General features: G+C 43.6%; 8 annotated features.

The window, feature by feature from the left end:
• Window positions 1,975-2,886: an enhancer, noted in NCBI's record as "H3K27ac-H3K4me1 hESC enhancer chr8:8153421-8154332 (GRCh37/hg19 assembly coordinates)". NCBI's record gives its function as "activates a minimal SCP1, AML or CMV promoter by ChIP-STARR-seq in naive H9 embryonic stem cells {active_cell/tissue: H9 hESC(naive)}" and the evidence as "EXISTENCE:reporter gene assay evidence [ECO:0000049][PMID:30033119]".
• Window positions 1,975-3,798: a biological region, named in NCBI's record as "P300/CBP strongly-dependent group 1 enhancer GRCh37_chr8:8153089-8154288".
• Window positions 2,019-3,218: an enhancer, noted in NCBI's record as "P300/CBP strongly-dependent group 1 enhancer chr8:8153089-8154288 (GRCh37/hg19 assembly coordinates)". NCBI's record gives its function as "activates an origin of replication core promoter dependent on BRD2, BRD4, P300/CBP, MED14 and CDK7 cofactors, with strong dependence on P300/CBP, by STARR-seq in HCT116 cells {active_cell/tissue: HCT116}" and the evidence as "EXISTENCE:reporter gene assay evidence [ECO:0000049][PMID:35650434]".
• Window positions 2,887-3,798: an enhancer, noted in NCBI's record as "H3K27ac-H3K4me1 hESC enhancer chr8:8152509-8153420 (GRCh37/hg19 assembly coordinates)". NCBI's record gives its function as "activates a minimal SCP1, AML or CMV promoter by ChIP-STARR-seq in primed H9 embryonic stem cells {active_cell/tissue: H9 hESC(primed)}" and the evidence as "EXISTENCE:reporter gene assay evidence [ECO:0000049][PMID:30033119]".
• Window positions 9,943-10,443: an enhancer, noted in NCBI's record as "H3K4me1 hESC enhancer chr8:8145864-8146364 (GRCh37/hg19 assembly coordinates)". NCBI's record gives its function as "activates a minimal SCP1, AML or CMV promoter by ChIP-STARR-seq in naive H9 embryonic stem cells {active_cell/tissue: H9 hESC(naive)}" and the evidence as "EXISTENCE:reporter gene assay evidence [ECO:0000049][PMID:30033119]".
• Window positions 14,556-14,625: a silencer, noted in NCBI's record as "silent region_18893". NCBI's record gives its function as "represses an Ori minimal core promoter by ATAC-STARR-seq in GM12878 lymphoblastoid cells {active_cell/tissue: GM12878}" and the evidence as "EXISTENCE:reporter gene assay evidence [ECO:0000049][PMID:35858748]".
• Window positions 15,206-15,295: an enhancer, noted in NCBI's record as "active region_26965". NCBI's record gives its function as "activates an Ori minimal core promoter by ATAC-STARR-seq in GM12878 lymphoblastoid cells {active_cell/tissue: GM12878}" and the evidence as "EXISTENCE:reporter gene assay evidence [ECO:0000049][PMID:35858748]".
• Window positions 19,311-19,370: an enhancer, noted in NCBI's record as "active region_26964". NCBI's record gives its function as "activates an Ori minimal core promoter by ATAC-STARR-seq in GM12878 lymphoblastoid cells {active_cell/tissue: GM12878}" and the evidence as "EXISTENCE:reporter gene assay evidence [ECO:0000049][PMID:35858748]".

Raw genomic sequence — 20,803 nt, 5'->3', positions numbered from 1 at the left:
AGGTTTCTGCCCTTGCACAGATGTTAGAGAACTTTATCATGGGTGCAGCCCCATCATCTTACCTGAGCAGTGAGCTTGGGGATCCACAAATTTATTTTTCCTGTCAAGTTTTAGCCCATTAGCATTCCTCGTATGGGGAGTTTGGCAGAATATGGAGGTTTATCTGCTTGGACAACTGGCTCAGCCCAACCTCTAAGGGACTGGATGGGATTACTCTTTTGAAACCCCAGCCAGACCCAGCCGAGGGCCTGCACGAAGGCTGATCCCTTTCCAGCCTGGCTAGCTCACACTGGGGTCTAGGCAGGGGAGTCTGACGTGCCGCCTTGTTTTGATGGTCACAGGGTGGCATGTGAGTTGGCTTTTTCTGTGCTTTGTAGGAGATGTGAGGGCCTTGACTTGGGGGAATATGGGAAGATACAGGATGAACTATTAATGACTGGATGCAACAGTTCTTTTAACTTACAATTAAAGTTATTTATTTGTTTATTTATTTATTTATTTATTTATTTTTAGAAGTGGGCGTCTCCCTCTATTGCCCAGGCTGGAATGCAGTGGCGCGATCATGGCTCACTGCAGCCTCAGACCCCTGTGCTCAAGTGATCCTCCCACCTCAACCTCCGGAATAACTGAGACTACAGGCACATGCCACTACACCCGGCTAATTTTTAAAATTTTTTGTAGGGATGGGGGTCTCACTATGTTGCCTGGGGTGGTCTTGAACTTCTGGCCTCAAGAGACCCTACGGCCAAATAGATGAATGAGTAAGATCTTCAATAACCACTATCAGCAATCAAGATTACTGAAGAGTCTCTGTCATGTTCTTCTTACCACCATCCTTCTGAAATATATATCGGGTTATCTCAGTCTATTTAGTATTGCTCTGAAGGGAGGCCTGAGACTGGGTAATTTAGATAGAGAAACATGTTTATTTGGCTTACAATGCTGGTGTCTGAAAAAGTCCAAGTTTGGGCATCTGCATCGGTGAGGGTCTCAGGTTGCTTCCACTCTTGGTGGAAGTTGGAGGGGAGCCAGCGGGTGCAGAAATCACATGGAGAGGGAAGAAAAGAGAGAGAGGAAGCGCCAGGCTCTTTTAAACAACCAGTTCTTGCAGGAACTAATAGAGAACTCACTCACAACCCCCTACAGGGAGGTTATGAATCTGTTCATGAGGGATCTGCCCCAGGACTCAGCACCTCCCGTTAGACCCCACGTCCAACATTGGAGATCAAATTTCAACTTGAGGCTTGGACAAACATCCAGACTATATCAAGTCTTTGTATTTAGCTAACACTTTGCTTCCAGAGGCTAAGCCTTTCTCAAGATCGCCAAACAGCTTACTTTAGGAGAGGTTTTCTTGAATTTTAGCATGAGTTTTCCCCTGAGAATGAACCCTCTGCTGTAGCTAGCGGTCCTTTCTTCTTTCCTCTTCTCACATTATCTTTCTCTCTCGCCCTCTTTGGCCTTCTCTTGATTTCCAGCTGCTCTTTGTCTCAACCCATTATTCCATGAGTGGGGAGACATTTCCGCTTATTAAAATCCCTCCCCCAGAGTTCCCCTAATCCAGAGGAATTATCCAGCTGAGCCAGCCGCCCTGTCTGGGTGCTCAGCCCTCAAAGGGGTCTGTGCATTTTCTGAGCCTGCTCACCTTCCTAAGTAAAGCTATGAACTGGAAATCCTAACCCCAACAGCTAAAGTCTGGAGAGGAATTTATTTCCCACAGTTGGTCTTTCCTGGCCATTTATCAGGTCATTCCAAGTCTTGCTTTAGCAAACTGAACCCTCGTGATTTTTTTTTTACTAAGATGCCACCACCACGTCAATGTTTATATTTCCTCTGTGTCCTTCTGGGAGGTGGCAGGAGATAGCATTAGCTCCATTTCAAATCAGAAAGAAACTGGAGGACATCAAAGTCCCCACATCATGTGGTTTATACAACTCAGAGGCTAAGGAAAGACCTAAATTTTAAGTGTTCTATTCAAAGCATCATCTTAAATCAGTAGGCTTCACTGTGTTATTTGAACCAATCTAAGCTTTTCCATTGCCCATAAGAGGGCTCTTTCCTCATATCTGTACTGGGATTTTCAGCATAGACCCATAAACATGGAGAAGGTCCCCACCACCACCTTTTGCTTTCCTGGTGTTCTTCCAAGCCTGGCTGAAGGCAGAGGCTCCTTTGGCGGCCCGTTTTCAGCACACAGGGGCCTGGGAATAAGAAAATGTCCTGTTGCTCTACAGAGGACGCAAACAGTGGATCAGGATCCCCATAGCCTTGCTCCGGTGACTCACCCTTCCTGGTCTGTGGGCGCCTCTGAGTAAGCTTTGTCTTGCTGCTCTGCAGAAGTCTCTGAGAAGGTATGACTTGCTGAGTTCCTAGGAAAACTGCCTACCCTTAGAAAGTGGATGTGAGAAGGAAAGCAGCAAGCCGGGAGCAGTCACGCACTGGTGTCCCCAGTGCCCCTGCGGCCCAGGGCGGAGGTGACTGCTGAAGTCAGCCTCCTGGAATGCCTCCAGGTAACCCTCCCTCCCTATCAAGGTCAATGAGTCAGAGGATAGGAGAGAAGCCGTGAGTAAAACTGCACACCAGGTGAAAGAAAGGGAGGAAAGCCGCATGGACCCTCCACTCCCAGCAGAGAACAGGGGGTGAGTCACTCAGCTCCGCTCCAGGGCACAGGGCAGGACTCTCGGCTCAAGGCTTCATCCAGCGAGTCCAGCATATTCTCCTCTTCAAACAAATGGAAACTTTCTGCTGCTCCATGATGGGATCACTCTTTCTGGGCTCCTTGGGAGCAAGTGAGAGGAAGCCCTTACCTGCACCAGCAGCCTCCATAAGGAAGGGAGCATCCGATCAGAGGTGAACAACGGGAGGCAGTGTCTCGCCCCGGCACATGGGGTCAATCTACAAATATTGATTCAGAGACATGAAAAATGGGAGTTTTGCACGGGAAGCACTTTCCAGAGATCTCACTCTCCAGTCTTTGCAGAGTCACATTTTCTCAACAGAATGGGTTAGAACTAAAAAAAAAAGGTGCTTGCTCAGAAATGGCACTGATGGCTCAGCACTTCCATTTATTTTATTTTATTCCATTTTGTTTTCTTTGATCTCACCTTTCCTTTGAGGTACGTCCAAAGAGAAGACTGGCAGCTGAGAGAAGATGATGGTGACCCTGATGGTGGAATATGGTTTGTGACCCAAAAACCAGTAGTTTCCACACAGGTGGCACAGCCCTTCCTAAGTGGGCTCCAGGGCCATGGACCTGAGGCCACAGGCCAAGGTGAGGCTGTGGGGGTCCCACACTGCAGCTGAACAGTGAGGCTGCCTGGAGCCCTGGCATGGTGCCCAGGGTTCTAAAGCCACTGCTGTGAACAGGGTAGATCATCCAGGAGAGCGCCCAGAGGTGGGGAAACAGGCCTGCAGCAGGCGGGGACATCAGCTGGCCTTGCTGTCCTTTGATTCTCACAGTTACTGCTTTTTGTTCAAATGTTACCTTATTTTTAATTTTATTTTTTTAGGGACAGGATCTCTCCTTGTCGCCCAGGCTGGAGTGTAGTGGCACAATCTTGGTTCACTGCAGCCTTGAACTCCCAGGCTCAAGAGATCCCTCCATCTTGGCCTCCCAAGTGGCTACAACTACAGGCATGTGCCACCACAAGTGGTTAAGTTTTTTTTTATTATTATGAATTTTGGTAGAGTTAAGGTCTCGCTATGTTGCCCAGGCTGGTCTCAAACTCCTGCGCTTGAGCAATCCTCCTGCCTTGGCCTCCCAAAGTGCTGGGATAACAGGCATGATCTACTGTGCCAGGCGTGTTTTTACATACTTGGGTCCACACTATACTCAGCACTCCTCATTCTACTGGGAGATGCCAATTGCACAGTCAGGAAGGGGTGAGTAGAGAGTGGTGGACTTGGCCTCAGCCATGGTCAAGCCGTGGGGGGTTAGGTGGAGGAGGGCGCCAGCCAGGCAGAAATAGGTTCTCAGTGTAAGGCCCAGTCAAGTGTCTCATTCACAGGAGGAAAGCCATTGAATTCCGCCTTCCCATTGCCTCCTCCCACTGTCGCCTCTTAACAACGTGGAGCGATCTCACTACGCTGGACTTCACCGGCATCCCATTGCCCTTTCTTTTCACATTGGCAATCTCTCCTCTTGCCAAGTATCTCTTTATCTTTCTTCTTCTTTCATTGAATCCAGCATGTAATTACCGCTGAGCAAGTACCATGTGCCAAACCCTTTATTAGGACAGGGGTGCGAAGTCCCAGCCTGCATGGGCTCCCAATGGCATTAGGGAAATGTCACCGCATCATCAGAAGAGTCCAAGGTAAGTTCCGGGCTCGTGATGAGAGGGGAGCACAGAAGGCCAAGGAATAGGGACTAGACGGGGACACGGGGAATGAGGGGATACTTCTTAGGGGATGGTTAAGCCCATGCTTTGAGCTGAGTCCTGAAAGGTGGAGTATGGTTTCCAAAAGAGACAAGTGACGCTCAATCCAAGAAGAAGAAACAACCGCACAAAGGCTCAGAATTTGAGAAGCACGCGGCGTTTGGAGAGCCATGGCAGCTGAGGGTGCCCAGAGCACGCTGAAGCCCAGTCTGCAGGGTGAGCTCGGGGCAGAGCTGTCCTTCCCTTTCTGGACCCTCCACGGGGTCGTGCAAGCCTCATGCAGTCCGTGAATCTGGAGGAGGCTGTGGGGAGCATCGAGAACTCTCTTCTCAGCCCCCTCCTCTTCTTCTTTCCCAGGATCATTTATTTCTACATCCTCTCACCTGGATCCTGACTCACTCCTGCTTGTCCTTGATTTGACCCTGAAGCACCACCCACCCTCCCATTTTCCCAGAGAAGGGAGGAAAAACCGAATGAGATCAGCAGCTACGCGAACGGAGAAACCAACCATGTCAGGAATCCTAGCAAAAGTGCTCAACAAAAGCAGGAAGGATGCAAAAAAAAAAAAAAAAAAAAAAAAAAAAAAAAAGAAAAGAAAAAAAGAAAAAAAAAATCCTCACACAGGAAGTAGGGAGGCAAAAAGTAGAAAGAGAAAAACAAATTTAGGTCACCTGTGGAAACTACTAAGTTGTCTAATGAAACCCAGGATATGAGAGCATGAGTTAGAAAAAGCCGGGAAAATAATAATAGCTAATAGTTACGTAGTAGTCACTATATAAATATATTTCTAAGCATAAAACATTTGTTAACTCATTTAAGCCTCACAGAAGTCCTATGAGTTGAATACTATTATTATCCCCGCTTTCCAGATGGGGAGACTGAGACACAGAGGAGAGAACCTATAGCTATATGCAATGGGTTAGAATCAGTAATCTGGCTGGGCGTGGTGGTTTACGCCTGTAATCCCAGCACTTTGGGAGGTCAAGGCCAGAGGATCACCTGAGCCCAAGAGTTGGAGACCAGCCTAGGTAACAGGCAGATCCTGTCTATACAAAAAATAATTTTAAAAAGCTGGGCACAGTGGCTCGTGCCTGTAATTCCAGCACTTTGGGAGGCCAAGGCAGGCGGATCACTTAAGGTCGAGAGTTCGAGATCAGCGTGACCAACATGGAGAAATCCCGTCTCTACTAAAAACACAAAATTAGCTGGGCCCGGTGGCACATGCCTGGAATCCCAGCTTCTCGGGAGGCTGAGGCAGGAGAATCGCTTGAAACCGGAAGGCAGATGTTGCGGTGAGCCAAGATCGTGCCATTACACTCCAGCCTGGACAATAAGAGCGAGACTCTGCCTCCAAAATAATAATAAAATAAAATTTAAAAGTTAAAAAATTTAAAGAAATTAGTTGGTTGTGATGGTGCATGCCTTTAGTCTCAGCTACTTGGGAGGCTGAGGAGGGAGTATGACTTGAGTCTGGGAGATGGAGGCTGCAGTAAGCCATGATTATGCCACTGCACTACAGCTTAGGTAAAAGAGCAAGACTCCGTCTCAAAAATAACAATAAAAATAAAAAAGAATTAGTAATCTGCATCTAACACCAATTTACAATGAATAAGTATGTAAGGGGTTTGGGAATCTTCCCTCTCATTCTCTTCCTATATAACTTTCCTGCTCTTCTCACCAGCCAGCGTTGCATTAGCTAGAGTATGTTGACAGTGCTGTCTGAATACATCAACTCTGGGACCCAGACGTGGCTTTGGCAAACAGCAGTCTATTTCCACGAAAACCCAAGTGACTCCCGGGGAAGAAAAATACACACATAAGTAAAACTTGTCCCAAGGGGAAAGAGGAGCAGGCCGGCCCATGTCTTCCAAGACTGAAGAGTCAGTTATCCGGGAGAAGAATGGCTGTGTTTGTCTTTCAGATCTTTCCCTGGTCCAGCCTAGTGGACTCATGCCTGAATCTTATTTTAAATAGAGTAGGGGCTGGGTGCGGTGGTTCACACCTGTAATCCCAGCACTTTGGGAGGCTGAGGCAGGTGGATCACTTAACGTGAGGAGTTCGAGACCAGCCTGGGGAACATGGTGAAACCCCATCTCTACTAAAAATACAAAAATTAGCCAGGTGTGGTGGTGGGAGCCTATAATCCCAGCTACTCAGGAGGCTGAGGTGGCAGAATGAATCGCTTGAACCTGGGAGGTGGAAGTTGCAGTGAGCCGAGATCGTACCACCATACTCCAGCCTGGGCGATAGAGGGAGACTCTGTCTCAAAAAAAAAAAAAAAAAAAAAAAAAAAGAGTAGAGGTAATCATATAATTAAAAGTGAAAATGCCTGTTTCTCAAAACCTTTGGGTATAAGCTTTATACCCAAACTTCTGGACCAGTTTAATGGAGTACAGCCCTCAAAGGGAGGCAAGAATTCTCTCCCACTTTTCCAAGGAATATTATGCAGTTCAGCATCTCCTCCCCAACCCTGAGGTTCCAGTACCTCAGCATCTGCTGTATGGGCTCTAGGGTGTCTGCAGTGAAAGCAGCTAATTGGAGGCAGTGATGTCAAGCAGGGCCAGAGAGGGTGGCAGGGGCTGCAGCACCAGCAGCCAGGCGATGCTCAGCCTGAGCATGGCCAATGCACCCTGTGTAGCATCCAGGAGAGGCAGCACATCCCTACCAGAGCCATGGTACAAAATACAAGCCACCTGGGTATCTGGAAGCGAGGGTGGGGCTTGGTAATAATTACTAAAGCATGCAGCACAGCAACAGCCAAAGAGAAGAAAGGGAAAAAAGTGAAATATGTAATCTTATTCACAAATAAATATAAGAACAAATTCCACTGAATCCCTGAAAACAAAATGTGGGGCGAGGGCAGTAAACGCAACTGACTACTGTAAATGCAACCTCACCTTAAAAGATTACCAACTAGCTAAGCATGGTGGCCCACGCCTGTAATTCAAGCACTTGGAGGCTGAGGTGGGTGGATCATTTGAGGTCAGGAGTACGAGACCAGCCTGGTCAACATGGTGAAACCCCTGTCTCTACTAAAAATACAAAAGTTAGCCAGGTGTGCTGGTGTACATCTGTAATCCCAGCTACTCAGGAGGCTGAGACAGATGAATCGCCGGAATCCGGGAGGCAGAGTTTGCAGTGAGCTGAGATTTGACTATTGCACTCCAGTCTGGGTGACAGAGTGAGATCCCATTTCAAAAAAAAAAAAACAAAAATTACCAACTACTAGCCTTATGGAGCAATATTTAAGTTGTTTTTATTTTGACTTAGACTTTAGGGCTAAATCTATGTTTTAATGAAGAAAAAATGTGTTCATAAATAATTATTTTCCTCAGAAGAAAAACATATTTTCTTTTATCACGTTGCCAGCCCAAAGGAGAGCTCATGTTTAAAAAATCACAGTGTTAGTTTATGACCAGCCTGGGCAACACAGCAAGATCCTGGCTCTACCAGAAAAAAAATTTTTTTTTAATTAGCCAAATGCAGTGGCACATGCCTGTAGCCCCCACTACTCCTCAGGAAGCTGAGGTGGAAGGATCACTTGAACCCAGGAGTCCAAGGCTGCAGTGAGCTATGATCATGCTACTGCACTCCAGCCTGGAAGACAAAGCGAAAACAACAATAACAACGACAACAGCAACAAAAAGCAAAAATCACAGCGTGTCTTAGGACTCATGTTCACTTTCATTTTTTTAAAGCTTTGCTAATTACTGATTAATCTTTTCTATTCCCTGTTGCTTAAACAATATTAGAATGTTTCTGTGCACAAAATCCAAGACTCAAAAACACAAAATAAAATTTGATGGCTTTTAAGTAAAAATTTGTTACTCAACTTATTTTTACCGCGATTTAGATTCATTGTGATGTTGGAGGTATGACCTTATCTATTCATCTGAATGACATTTTGTTTCAACAAAAGGGCAGTGCTCTCAATGTCAAATAATAAGATAGAAATCTTTAATCCCTTTAGTCCTTCTGTATACCTAGGTCATTTTATTTTAGAGTGTATGTGTACAGAGAGTATACTCAACTAACCCTCATAGTGATTACACTGGTTGTACCTAATGCAACAAATACTATTCAACTTTAACAAAATAAGAATTTTATACTGTCTGGCTTATTCTTAATTCTTCCCTAAGGGCCTATTTGGTTTAGCATCAAATACAAGATTAAGAGACTCTAAACGTTAGCTGAACAGCCACTCAAGGGATTTAGACATGATCTCTTTACACAAAAGAGTTAGCATACATCTGATATCCCCTGCACAGAGAACACATGTTTATACATATAATAAATCTCCTTTTCCTACCGATGATTATTTATTTGAAAGCAAAATGAAAAACAACCTTATCGTATCCTCAAAAAAAATCTACGCCGGTAGTGAAAAATTTGGGGCAAGGTAAATGTCTATTAATTTACACTGAACAAAGCAAAAAAAGTAGATGAAGATTGTAGGAACTATATACTCTATTAAAATATGTGTGTATATCTACATGTGTTTATGTGTGTATTTATGAGCGTATTTGCATGTACCTTAAATTTGGATGACGCAAATGAAATGGGTAAGCATGGAAGAAATCCTTAGGAGGCTAACTGACTTGTCAAACCTAGCAATAGCCTCAATAGGAATTCAAACGTTGATCTTCTAAGACCAATTCCAGTGCCTATTGCGTTACCCTGTGCTGTAACCCAAACTGCAATAGAAACTTGTAGGGCAGAGAAGAAAAAAATGCAGGGTAATATTTCTCAGTCCTACCAGGTGGCTAATGATTCAGTCTTTTTGCACGTGTAGTGAACCACAATATGCATTGTCTTCATATATTTACATTTAATAAAGTCATTTTAACGGTCTTAAAGAGATAGCAAGGGCAGACAAACAGGAAACGAGAGTCAGATGCTAACAGAGATAAAGGGAACCTCTCTCTCTCTCTGTCTCTTTCTGTGGAGTAGCTTTTCTCCAAAGAGTTCCAAAATTCCAAAATCTTACCCTATGAAGATAAAAACTGGAGAATCAGGCTTAGAAATAGGCAAGGGAAAGGAGGAATGCAACGGGGAAGGTCCAGGAAGGCAGAGAATGTGAGGCAACAGCGTGCAACTTAGCCAGACCTGGCTGAGTTGGAAAGTGTTCAAGTCACTGTGACCGTGCCCTAGCAGAGCAAGCTCACTCTCCTAGTTTATTTGCATATGAGAGGAAATGTATTTTTTAAACATTTAACTATTGTTTTTGCTGGGTAAATGCAACTATTTGTATACATAAACACATTTAAACCATGCTGGTGTGATAGTTATGTTTTCTAGAATTCATTATTTCCATGTGTATAGTGCTTGGGTGCACATCGAATTGTCTGGTGGAGGGAGAGCACAGGAGTAGTATACCAATCCTTCATTTCCAGAGGAGGGAATGGATGTGGATAACACACACGGTTTGCATATCTATAGCTTACGTAAAGTTATATTCTTAAATGTGAGGGAGTTATTAAGCATTCAAAAATTATTTAGACTTTCTTGGCTTTCTTTGCTTCTTCAGAGCTCTAAGTTTTCTACAAATGGAATTAATGTAGTAGGCTTTGTTGCAACTTCATTTCCTCACCAATGCATCAGCTCTTCCTCTCAGCTGGCCTCTGGCCCTGGTAGGAAATGCTAATCCTATGGCAACAGCAACCAAATAAAAGATGAGGTGATGTGGGGGAATGAGTATTAGTCACGACTTGGTATACATCCTGTCAATGATCCCTCCTGATAAATAGTGTGTGACCGGAAACAGGGACATGATAAAACACCTGGACAATCCCACCTCCGTCGAGAAGGCAGGGCAGTTGAGTGATTGCATACCGGGCACCTTGCCACATGCATGCCACACAGGAGGGGCTGGTTCATTCATCAAAGACCCTGCCGCACACAGCCTCTGCTCCGTGAGAAAGTGCAGGTCTAAGAGGCTTTGATATTCAGGTCTGGGTCAATGAGCCAAGAGTATAAAGAGCCCAAAAGGAATGTCTTGTCGCAAGCCAAAGTATTAGCTAAGAGAGCAAGATGACAATTATGCAAGCAGAGAATACAGCATTGCTTACACTCGGGGTCAGGAGTTCGAGACCAGCCTGGCCAACATGGCAAAACCCCAACTCTACTAAAAATAAAAAAATTCACTGGACATGGTGGCGTGCACCTGTAGTCCTAGCTACTGGGGAGGCTGAGGCAGGAGAACCACTTGAACCCAGGAGGTGGAGGTTGCAGTGAGCCAAGATCGCACCACTGCACTCCAGCCTGGGTGACAGAGTGAGACTCCATCTCAAGAAACAAAAAAAAAAAAAAAGAAGAAGAAAAATAGTCCTTTGTTCATTCTCATTTTCCAGTTTATAAATATCATGATCTAATCAATATACAATGAGTCTATTTTTCCATATCTCCAAATTTGTTAATGGAGAGTAAATAACTTAATTTTAGAATTCTGGCCAACCCAGAATTACAGGTATCCTGGTGGACCTCACATCTAGGTTCTCACCCAATGAAGGGACACCCACTCTAATTCCCTGGATCCAGTTACTCCCAGACTATCACCACTATTGTGGGCAAACCATGACCTAACCAGCATGTAATTCTACTTTCAAACAGCTCTAATGATTAAAAAGGACTTCTGTGATAGGATAGGCTGATTTTGAGTATTTCTAAAAGGTTGCATCTCCTTTGTCAGGTATCTATGTGCATGAAGTGATACGATTGGAAGGTTTGTTCTGATCAAAATGAGGAAGAGAAACGGGAGACAGAGAACAGAGGCTACATGGTTTCCTATCTAGCCCATTGGCGTGGTTGGAACCCCAGTGCAAATAAGGATTAAGGGCCAGAAAATGAAGGACTCTGAGCGCAGGCACAGGCAGGCTGCCGTGGGACTCAGTAACAAACTGGCCAAGAGGGAGTCTTTCCCTGCAGCTGTTCCTGGAGCCCAGCTCTGCCCAACTCCGTTGAGGAAGGGCGGCTTTGGGAGAACTGGGTGAAAGCACCTTTCCACAGACATTGGGCCTTATTTGGGATTCTATCAGCTACAGCAAGAATGTGGCTCCTTCAAGTAGGCAGCTGACATGGAAAGAGGAGAGAGTGGGAAGTGAAGCATGTAGCTGATGTCTTGCGGGGAGAGACCGGGAAATGAAGCATGTAGCTGATGTCTTGGGGTTACTGATGTAGTCAAGCTTGTTTGGTAGCAAAGAGAACGTCTGGAAATTCCCAGAAATATTTTGGTCGGGAAGGAGAGCGACAGGAGCACTTTATGCAGGGAACTGCCTGTGTGGAGCAATGTGGGTAGAACAGGCTCCCTGAGTCACTGATGTTAAAGTATATCCAGGCTGGGGAAGAAGAGAAGCATTTGGGCTACTTCCTTTGCAACACAGGCTAATTAAATTATTCCTCACGTCTCCGGATGATGGGGATCAAATGTGTTACTAACTCCCCGAAAAGTTTTTCTTCCAAGCCACAAATTGTTTTTGTTAATAGAAATAAATTGTGACTTCTATTTTTTTCTATAAGACACTGTCTAGTCTTCAGCCAGATAAGCAGAGAGAGGCACTGCAGTAAAGGCAAAAGCTGTCACTTAAAGGAAGAGTGACCATAACATCCATCATCCAAACCAGGACAAGACTGAGAGTGAAAGAGGATGTTATTACTCATTATGCTGGGACAAGAGGCAATAATAGGGACTGTTCTGGGTAAATGAGAACATCCAATTACGTCACCTGAAGATTATGGGTGACAAGTAAAACTGAAATCAACTGGCCATACTTGTATTTATCCAACAACGCGGAATGCAGCCTGAATAGAGAGGGGCTGACCTGAAGCCAACCTCTGCCTGCTACAGGCAACCTTCCTAGCCAACAAGAATAACAAAGAAAGAAGAAAAAAATGCAGACTATTCCAGAAACCTCCAAGAGTAATGTAGATGTTTCTTTGAGGTTTTCTTGAAAGAGATTTAAATGAGTGCATTACACATACAGCCAAACACCCCAAAATTCTTCTTTTCTGCTCCCGCTTCCCAAAGTGTCCATTGCAACAGCCTGCCCTGTCCTCCCCACGCCTAAAGGCTTCCTTTTTCCCCACAGTTGTCTCTCTCGTTATTGTCCCCTCAGATCTGTCCTCTCCCCTTCTGCCAGCCTCTCCCCGCCATGTAAATATGTGTGATAGGGGAAAGATGGAGATTGTGAATATCATTGTGATAATGAATATGAATGCATTAACTTGTGCTGTGTGTTTGTCAAATTTTTTAGATTCTGGTTACAATAAAAATTAAAAGCTATGTTAGAGAGCTTGGCGATCCCAATTTGAGACACAGGGAGTGGGGGCTGAAATTCAGACGGAGGTACGAGAAGCAAGAAAGCTGGTAGCTATGAAACACAGTCCTGTGATGAGTGCTTTACTCACACAGTGTGAAAATGGCACTTCCTGTCTGGGTTTGACTGAGGTGTGAAGACAATAGATGCCATGTTTCTCTCCCATGGAAACATTTTTATTTGATTTTATTATTTTTTAGAGACAAGGTCTCACTCTCTCACCCAGGTTGGAGTGCAGTGGCACAATCATAGCTCACTGCAGCCTTGAACTCCTGGACTCAAACAATCCTTCTGCCTTAGCCTGCTGGCTGGGACTACAGGCATGCACCATCATGCCTAGTTATTTATTTATTTATTTATTTATTTATTTATTTATTTATTTATTTATTGTTTTGTAGAGATGGGGCCTCCCTATGTTGCCCAGGCTGGTCACAAACTCCTGGTCGCAGATGATCTTCCTGCCCTGGCCTCTCAAAGTGCTGGGATTACAGGCATGAGCCACCACACCCGGCCACCTGGAAATTTGAAGCAAGTCAGAGATTCACCTACACCAAGGGTGAGAGGGATCGGGTTGTTGGAGACCGAAGAGGTTTGTGGAGATGATCTGGCAAAGGCTGCTGGAGTATAATGAGACCCACCATGCCTGCTCCTTACTTCGAGCAGAGAGAGGGGCCTTCAAAGGACCCCTCGGGAAATTCATGTCCCTGAATCTAGATGGACGCAGCTGACCTGGATTTGACTAATGCCTGTGGATCTGAGATTCCAAACTGGCCAGCTAACTTGATGGCAAACTAAAGTGAATTCCCAGGAGAAGGATCAGCCAGATGCCCAGAGTCTTTGGTCGGGGGGTCAAATAATTCATGACAGTTTCTTGTAGACCTGATGTAACGAGCCCATGATGAAGAGAAGGAATGGGGATGCATTCCAGAACTTGTTCAAGTAGCTGTTAGAAAAACACCAGGCTCCAGCGGGGGAGAAGCTGGAGCTGCTCTTTCTTTCCCAAAGGGGTAAGGGGAATTCAGCAACCACGAACTAGATTCCACATGCCCGAGCCAACGGACCTGGAATTCCGAGACTGGATGGATCAGGGGTTGGCAAACTGTGGCCCCTGGGCTGGGTGTTACTGTAACTGCAGATTTGTTGGAACCCAGCCACACCCATTCATTGGCGTTACAAGGGCAGAGTTGAGTAGCTGCAACAGAAGATGTGTGACCTGCAAAGCCTAAAATATTCAATATCTGACCTTTTACAGAGGACATTTGCTGACCCTCAGGATAGGTTCTCGGAAAACCCCTCAAAAGTACTGGGGCAGCTGTGACAGATTTGGCCTTAAAATAGTTTTCACACTCGGAGTGCATGAAACCATCTTAAAACATTACCATTCAAGTAGAAACTTTCCATCTCCTCCTACTTCTTGCTTTCCCTACATCAGCCAAATACGGTCAGAAACTTCTGTGGGAGGAGGAGCAAAGAGAGAAATGACCAGCCTTCTTTACCCACTGGAAGATTCCAGACCTCAGCAGACCCCAGTGCTGGGTGGATGAATGGGAGGAAGGACAGTGTGAGATTTTACTCTAAGTCTAATTTGAAACTTTGCTTATTCTATAGGCCTTGCCACTAATTACCACACTGAGAAGCATCTGATTTAAAGTAAATATATTTTTCATTCAGAGATCAGGAAACGACTTCCACCCCAGGAAAACATACAGGAATGGCGGAAGATGAAAAATAAACTTCGCTTTAAGATAACATCCCAAGACTCCTGCATGTTTTTTTGTTGTTGTTCTTGTTTTTGTTTTTGTTTTTTTGTTTTTGTTTTTGTAATGGAGTTTCACTCTTGTCTCCCAGGCTAGAGTGAAGTGGCACAATCTCGGCTCACTGCAACCTCCGCCCCCAGGTTCAAGCGATTCTCCTGCCTCCGCCTCTTAAGTAGCTGGGATTACAGACGCCTGCCACCACGCCCGGCTAATTTTTTTTTTTTTTTTTTTTTTTTTTTTAGTAAAGATGGGGTTTCACCATGTTGGCCAGGCTGGTTTTTAACTCCTGACCTCATGTGATCCACCCGCCTCGGCTTCCCAAAGTGCTAATATTACAGGTGTCAGCCACCGCGCCCGGCCAAAGATCATCTCTTCTGGAGCTCGATTTTCTCATCTGCAATGTGAGTGTTGGGCCAGCACTAAATGATTCCTATCAGCGCTGATATTCTGTGATTCTGAAGCTCAGCGTCTGTCCTTCAAGATGGTTCATGTGTCTGTGACTCTTGCAGTTCTGCATGCCATTACTGCTGTAGCCTGTGTGTAGCTTGTACCCAAACATTGGAGAAATGATCCACCTAGGGGCCCCCACTGTCACCTTCAAGATAGTCCTTCAGTGCTTAGTTAGGAAGCTGCTCTCATTTGCATAGAGCACAAACAGCTGAGACAGGCCTTGAGCGGGAGCTTCTATGTTGATTTGGCCAGGAGTTAGGCTGTGTTTACTGTTTGCTATAGCTGTGGTGTCAGCGGCTAACATTCCCTCAGTGTCCTTGTTTTTGTCTCCCCTGTGGTCTTCTAGTTTGTCTAGAGACTCCTTAAATGGGGTCTGAGGCTTGCAATTCTTTCAGCTATATTCCCCTGCTATTATATAAAACCTCTATTGATGTGGTGGTGAGGTGTTGAGGGGAGAAGAGGCATTTATACTCCTAAGATTAGGTCTCAGTCCTTTAGTGAGCTTCACTTAGGTATTTTCCTTCTCCTTGATTGGTTAGACTCTGGTAAAATGTTTCTCTTGAGGGAAGGCCTTTTTAAAAAGAACAGAAGGAGCCAGGTGCAGTGGTTCACACCTGTAATCCCAGCACTTTGGGAGGCTGAGGCGGATGGATCACCTGAGTCAGGAGTTCGAGACCAGCCTGGCCAACATGGCGAACCCCTGTCTCTACTAAAAATACAAAAATTAGCTGGGCGTGGTGACGGGTGCCTGTAGTCCCAGCTACTCGGGAGGCTGAGGCAGGAGAATCTCTTGAACTTGGGAGGTGGAGGATCTGGGTATATTTCAAATGGTTTATATGCTTGTCCCGGCTGCAAGAAGCACAAGGGGATTTTTTCTTGATCTTCACATGACAACCTGTTAGGGGTCCTGGAGGTAAAACTCTTGAAAGTGTGCCCCTCCCAAGACTGGGCCCCCAGAAATATAACTCAGGCTGGTCCACTGAGCCTCCCAACAATTCATCGGTTACCAGTGCCAGCGTTCGGACGGATACTGGCTCCAGCCACAGGCTTCTTCTGCTCCTGGGCTTCTGTTCCAGGAAGCTGTGATTCTTTGTCTGCCTTTGTCTCCAGTTGTAGGGGTTGCAGTTGACCCTGTGACCTCAGTTCTCTGATGGAACTAAGAAAAGTTGATTTTCCCTTCGTTCAGTTTTTTTCCTTGTTGTAAAGACAGGATTAATAACTTTCTTTCTTTCCTTTTTTTTTTTTTTTTTTTTTTTTTGAGACAGGGTCTCAATCTGTTGCCTAAGCTGGAGTGCAGATGGAGTACAATCTCAGCTCACTGCAACTTCTGCATCCCAGGCTCAAATGATCCCCCTGCCTCAGTCTCCCGAGTAGGTGTAACTACAGGTGCGTGTCACCACACCCAGCTAAGAAGCAATAACTTTCAAGCTCTTTACATGTCAGACCAGAAGCCAGAAATCCTCTCATGTATACAGAAATTGTCTTGTATATGAAATTGTATATAGTGTACAATATGTTTCAAACAAACTGGCAATTTCATCTATTCAGGCAAATAAGAATAATTCATAGAGTGCAGGGAAGTGGTGAAATTTGAGATTCAGAGCACATTTTCCAGGATACTCTGGAATTATTTTAAAAATGTAATATAAAATTCTATCTTGGAAATTCAGTTATGTAAAACCCTAAAGCAATTTTTAACTATGACAACCCAGCACTGTTTCGTACAGATTCTTCCTGCAAGTCCTTTAAATAATACGCGACACATATTTTATTTAAAAATAATAATTACTTCTAGCGCTTTATACTTTGCACAGATTTTCACATATATTTCCTCAAAGATGGGTAGAAATCTGTGTGCTTTGCAGGTATCTTTGTCTCAAGACCTTCGCAACTTCCTATGACAATAGGGACAGTATGGTGTGTGGACAACCTGGGAATGGGTGTTGCTATTCTCTGACAGGTATTTGTACAGAATATGCATTTGCAAACCAAAATTCATGTATAGAAGAAATGCAATGATTCCTATATTTTAACTTAAAGTAATTGTGATTTAGGATTCCTATTCTGTAAGGGACCAGCAGAAAATTCCATTTCTATCATCACAAAGGCCGCTGTCCTCTCTGAGATACAGAGAGCCCAGGAAGTCTATAGGGTACTCAAAAGGGAGAAGGATCCCCATGCGTTCTTCAACCCGGTAGAGCTGCCATGATTATGCAATTCTCTGAGCCTGTGGTCCCTGGAAGTGAGCTGTTCCTCATTCTCAGCCCAAGCAGAGTTACCTTTCTCCTTTGCCAAGGAGCCCAGGTGTCTAGCTATACATGGCAAAGTCCCCCTTAGAAGTGCTATGAAAGATTGGGGTATGGATCTCCAGTGCACCTAGACTGCATGATCTCCCTACAGAAAAAAAGAAAGAAAGAGAGAGAGAGAGAAACAGTAACAACAAAAAGTCTTTCCTTCCTTCCTCCCTTCCTCCCTCCCTCCCTTTCTTCCTTCGTTCCTTCCTTCCTCCCTCCCTCCCTCCCTCCCTCCCTCTCTCTCTCTTTCTTTCTTTTTTTCCTTTCCTTTTCTTTTCTTTTTCTTTTTTCTCCCTATGGGCACAGAGCGTATTGTCCTCAGTGAGCTCCAATTTTTGAAAAAGAGAGGTAGCAATATTGTCCATTATTTTATGCTTTCTGCACTGCTAAAAGTGCCAGAGGCAAGGGATCGGCATCCATTATTGCTGAAAGCTCGGGGAGAAAGAGAAAGAAGAAATACATTTTAATGTTTCAGTGAATTATCCTGGCACACATTCAACACATCAGTTAAGAAATCAAAACTTGGCCAGAATAATTACATAATTTGATTTAATTCCTGAACAGTCTTTCCCTAATTTCCTAGATTTGAATATTAATTATAGAAGGCATGTGATGAAATGATGGAATGCAAATAAATCTGCAGAATAATATTCAATAAAACTTGAAGAAAAATTATAAATTTCTTCTGAATAAAGTCATCCAAAGACAAACACATTAGAACATGTGATTCAAGAAAGTGGAGAAAAGATAACAAATATTTCCTTGAAATTAAGACAGAGCAGTACACATAGAATTATATTTTTAAAAACAGATGGCACCATTAGCTTGATAAAAAGAAGACTCTGTTGTAGCTTTAGACAGAAAGTGACTGAAAATTAGAACATTGTGAAGAAACAGTAAGAAAATTCAGAGTAAGGAACAAAGCCTTAAATGTAAGTCAATTACATTATTAAAGAAATTGTCGCTATTTTGCTTTAATTGCCATTGAGTGTGGGTCTATAGGAATTGAGAGACGTTTCTTGAATCCAATATGTAGCACACCTAGACAGAAGATTCTTTTCATTACTTAAAGTGCACATCAAATGATCTTACATTGAGTGAAATTTTAGTTATCTAATACCTATCACAATCAATCATCAATGATCAATAACCAAGTACACTACAAGACTTAAAGATTTCTATGTTTTAGTTTACTGACATGTACTTATGTTTTCTTTCATGCCTTTATTTCTGTGTTTTGCACCATTCATTAGTTAATATTATAAAATTTTTCTGTACTCCAGAAATGCACTGAAGCATGTTATTCTAATTTTACATGCCTGCTGGAGAACAGTCTCTGAATTCTTATTGCAAGATATGAGAAAAATCAATCTATCTTAGAAAACTTTCAGGGTATCAGAATAAGACAGAGGAGGATGAGGCAGCCCAGCTAAGGCAGTGAGATGACTCACATGTTAATTAAGGTAAGGCACTGTAAAGGGCTATGAATATTTCCTTGAGCAAATCAACAAGTTTTGTGCACGTACGTACACACACACACACACGACCAGTTCAATTTCTAGTAATATGGCAGATAAGATATTCAAATAAACTTTTGAAAGTATATCTCAGTTAAAAATGATAAATGTATATTTACATGAATATATGTGGTGGATAGATAGATGGATAGATGGATAGATAGATAGATAGATAGATGGATGTATATTACATGACTTGGCATGTGAGAAGTAAGGGATTTAGTGTTCAGAAATGACAAGAAATATTGAATCCAAGAGGCAACACTTGTGCTGGAATTTTCCCTGGAGATATCTGGGTGGCCTGGTAACCTAGAGCCTTAGTCACAACAAGCCACACATGGGGACCAAGAGATGAAGCCTTAAGTCTGAACATCATGAGAGGTCACCTATGAGACCCACTGCATAAAGCTGTACCTCCGTAGGTGACATTCACAGTTTGAACTAAGAAAGAACTTGCCTTGAAGAGGAAAACAATGATCATACATGCTTGTGTTGGTTTTGGTTGTGGTGAGACTAGAAGAAGGTAGGAGAAAACTCTCCTGTGAAAATTTCTAACCACAAGATCATACTAACAAGTCTGCAAGGCCAGAACTTCTACTGTCTGTATGTTCTGGAAGACAATAAGTTTAAACTTCTAGTAGTCCTGAACTGGTAGTGCCCATAAGGTGATAGTGTTCCCAGACCAATGGAAGAAGACTCACCATTTAAACCAGATCTCCTGCCCACAAATGAGGAAGGAGCACATCAGCGTTAAGCATGAGACTCAGCAGAAACAAGAAACTGCAGATTCAGATAGACAAAAACAATAGGTGTTGGAATCGCTAAAAATACAAAATAAACAAGTGTAGTATATTTAAAGGAAAAAGACAAAGTGAAAGAATGACCAACTAATAAGAGATTATGAAAATTGGCCAGATCAACTTGAAAAAGAACCGAGTGAATATCTAAAGATGAAAAACTGGAAATTGGAAACTCAGTAATAACTGGATACATCACAAATTACTGAAAAACAGAGCTGGTGAAATTACTCAGACCATTGCACAGACAAATGTGGAAATGGAAAATCTGAGCAGTTAAGCTACATGGAGAGGAGAGTAAAATCAGTCAACATTAAAGCACGTCTAATGCTTCCTAAAGAAGAGAACAGAGAAAAAGGAGAAAAGGTAGGCGTTTGAAAGATAATGATGATCGAGCACTTTCTTGGACGGCTGGAAAAACCATATCTTAGATTCCGGAAGCCCAAGCAATCCAAAGTAGAGTAAATTAAAAGAAATTCAACACCAAGACATATAATAAAACTGCAGAACGCCAAAGGTTATTAAAAAAAAAAAAACCTTAAAGGTATCCAGAGGGAAAGGATAAATTGCTTAACACTTGGTTAACTATATAATTTATTGGCCAAATTTATTGACCAAACCAGGATACAAGGTTACTCTTTTTTTTTTTTTTTTTTTTTTTTTTTTACGGAGTCTGTCGCCCAGGCTGGAGTGCAGTGGCGCAATCTCTGCTCACTGCAACCTCCGCATCCCAGGTCCAAGTGATTCTCTTGTCTCAGCCTCCCTAATAGCTGGCACTACAGGCATGTGCCACCATGCCCAGCTAGTTTTTTTGTATTTGTAGTGGAGACAGGGTTTCACCATGTTGGCCAGAATGGTCTGGAACCCCTGACCTCGCATGATCTGCCCACATTGGCCTCCCAAAGTGCTAGGATTACAGGCATGAACCACCTCACCCGGCCAAACCAGGATACTCTTGAGAATGAAAGGGGTGCTAACCAAACAGGTGAAGAGTATCACAGAAATAAATAGGAATTATGGAAGGCAAATTAGGGCATATGTCAAAATCTATAAAAAAAATAACAATTCCATTGACAGGAAGGACAATGAAGGTCAGGAAGACAATGCATAACATCTTCAAAGCACTGAAAATATATTCAGCTAGAACTGCATGTAACCAAACTCTCTTTTAGTAACAAGGGACAAAGAAAAACACATTTAGATAAGCAAAAACTGAGAAGTCGTGACGAACAGACTCCCTCCAAAGTAATTTCTTTATAAGAGAACAAAAGAATCTCAGAAAGAGTCTAAGAGGCATGAA

This window comes from Homo sapiens, chromosome 8 (assembly GCF_000001405.40).
Source record: "Homo sapiens chromosome 8, GRCh38.p14 Primary Assembly".
Lineage (NCBI taxonomy): Eukaryota > Metazoa > Chordata > Mammalia > Primates > Hominidae > Homo > Homo sapiens.
Note: the sequence above shows the minus strand (reverse complement) of the source record. Positions and strands in the feature narration are given on the sequence as shown.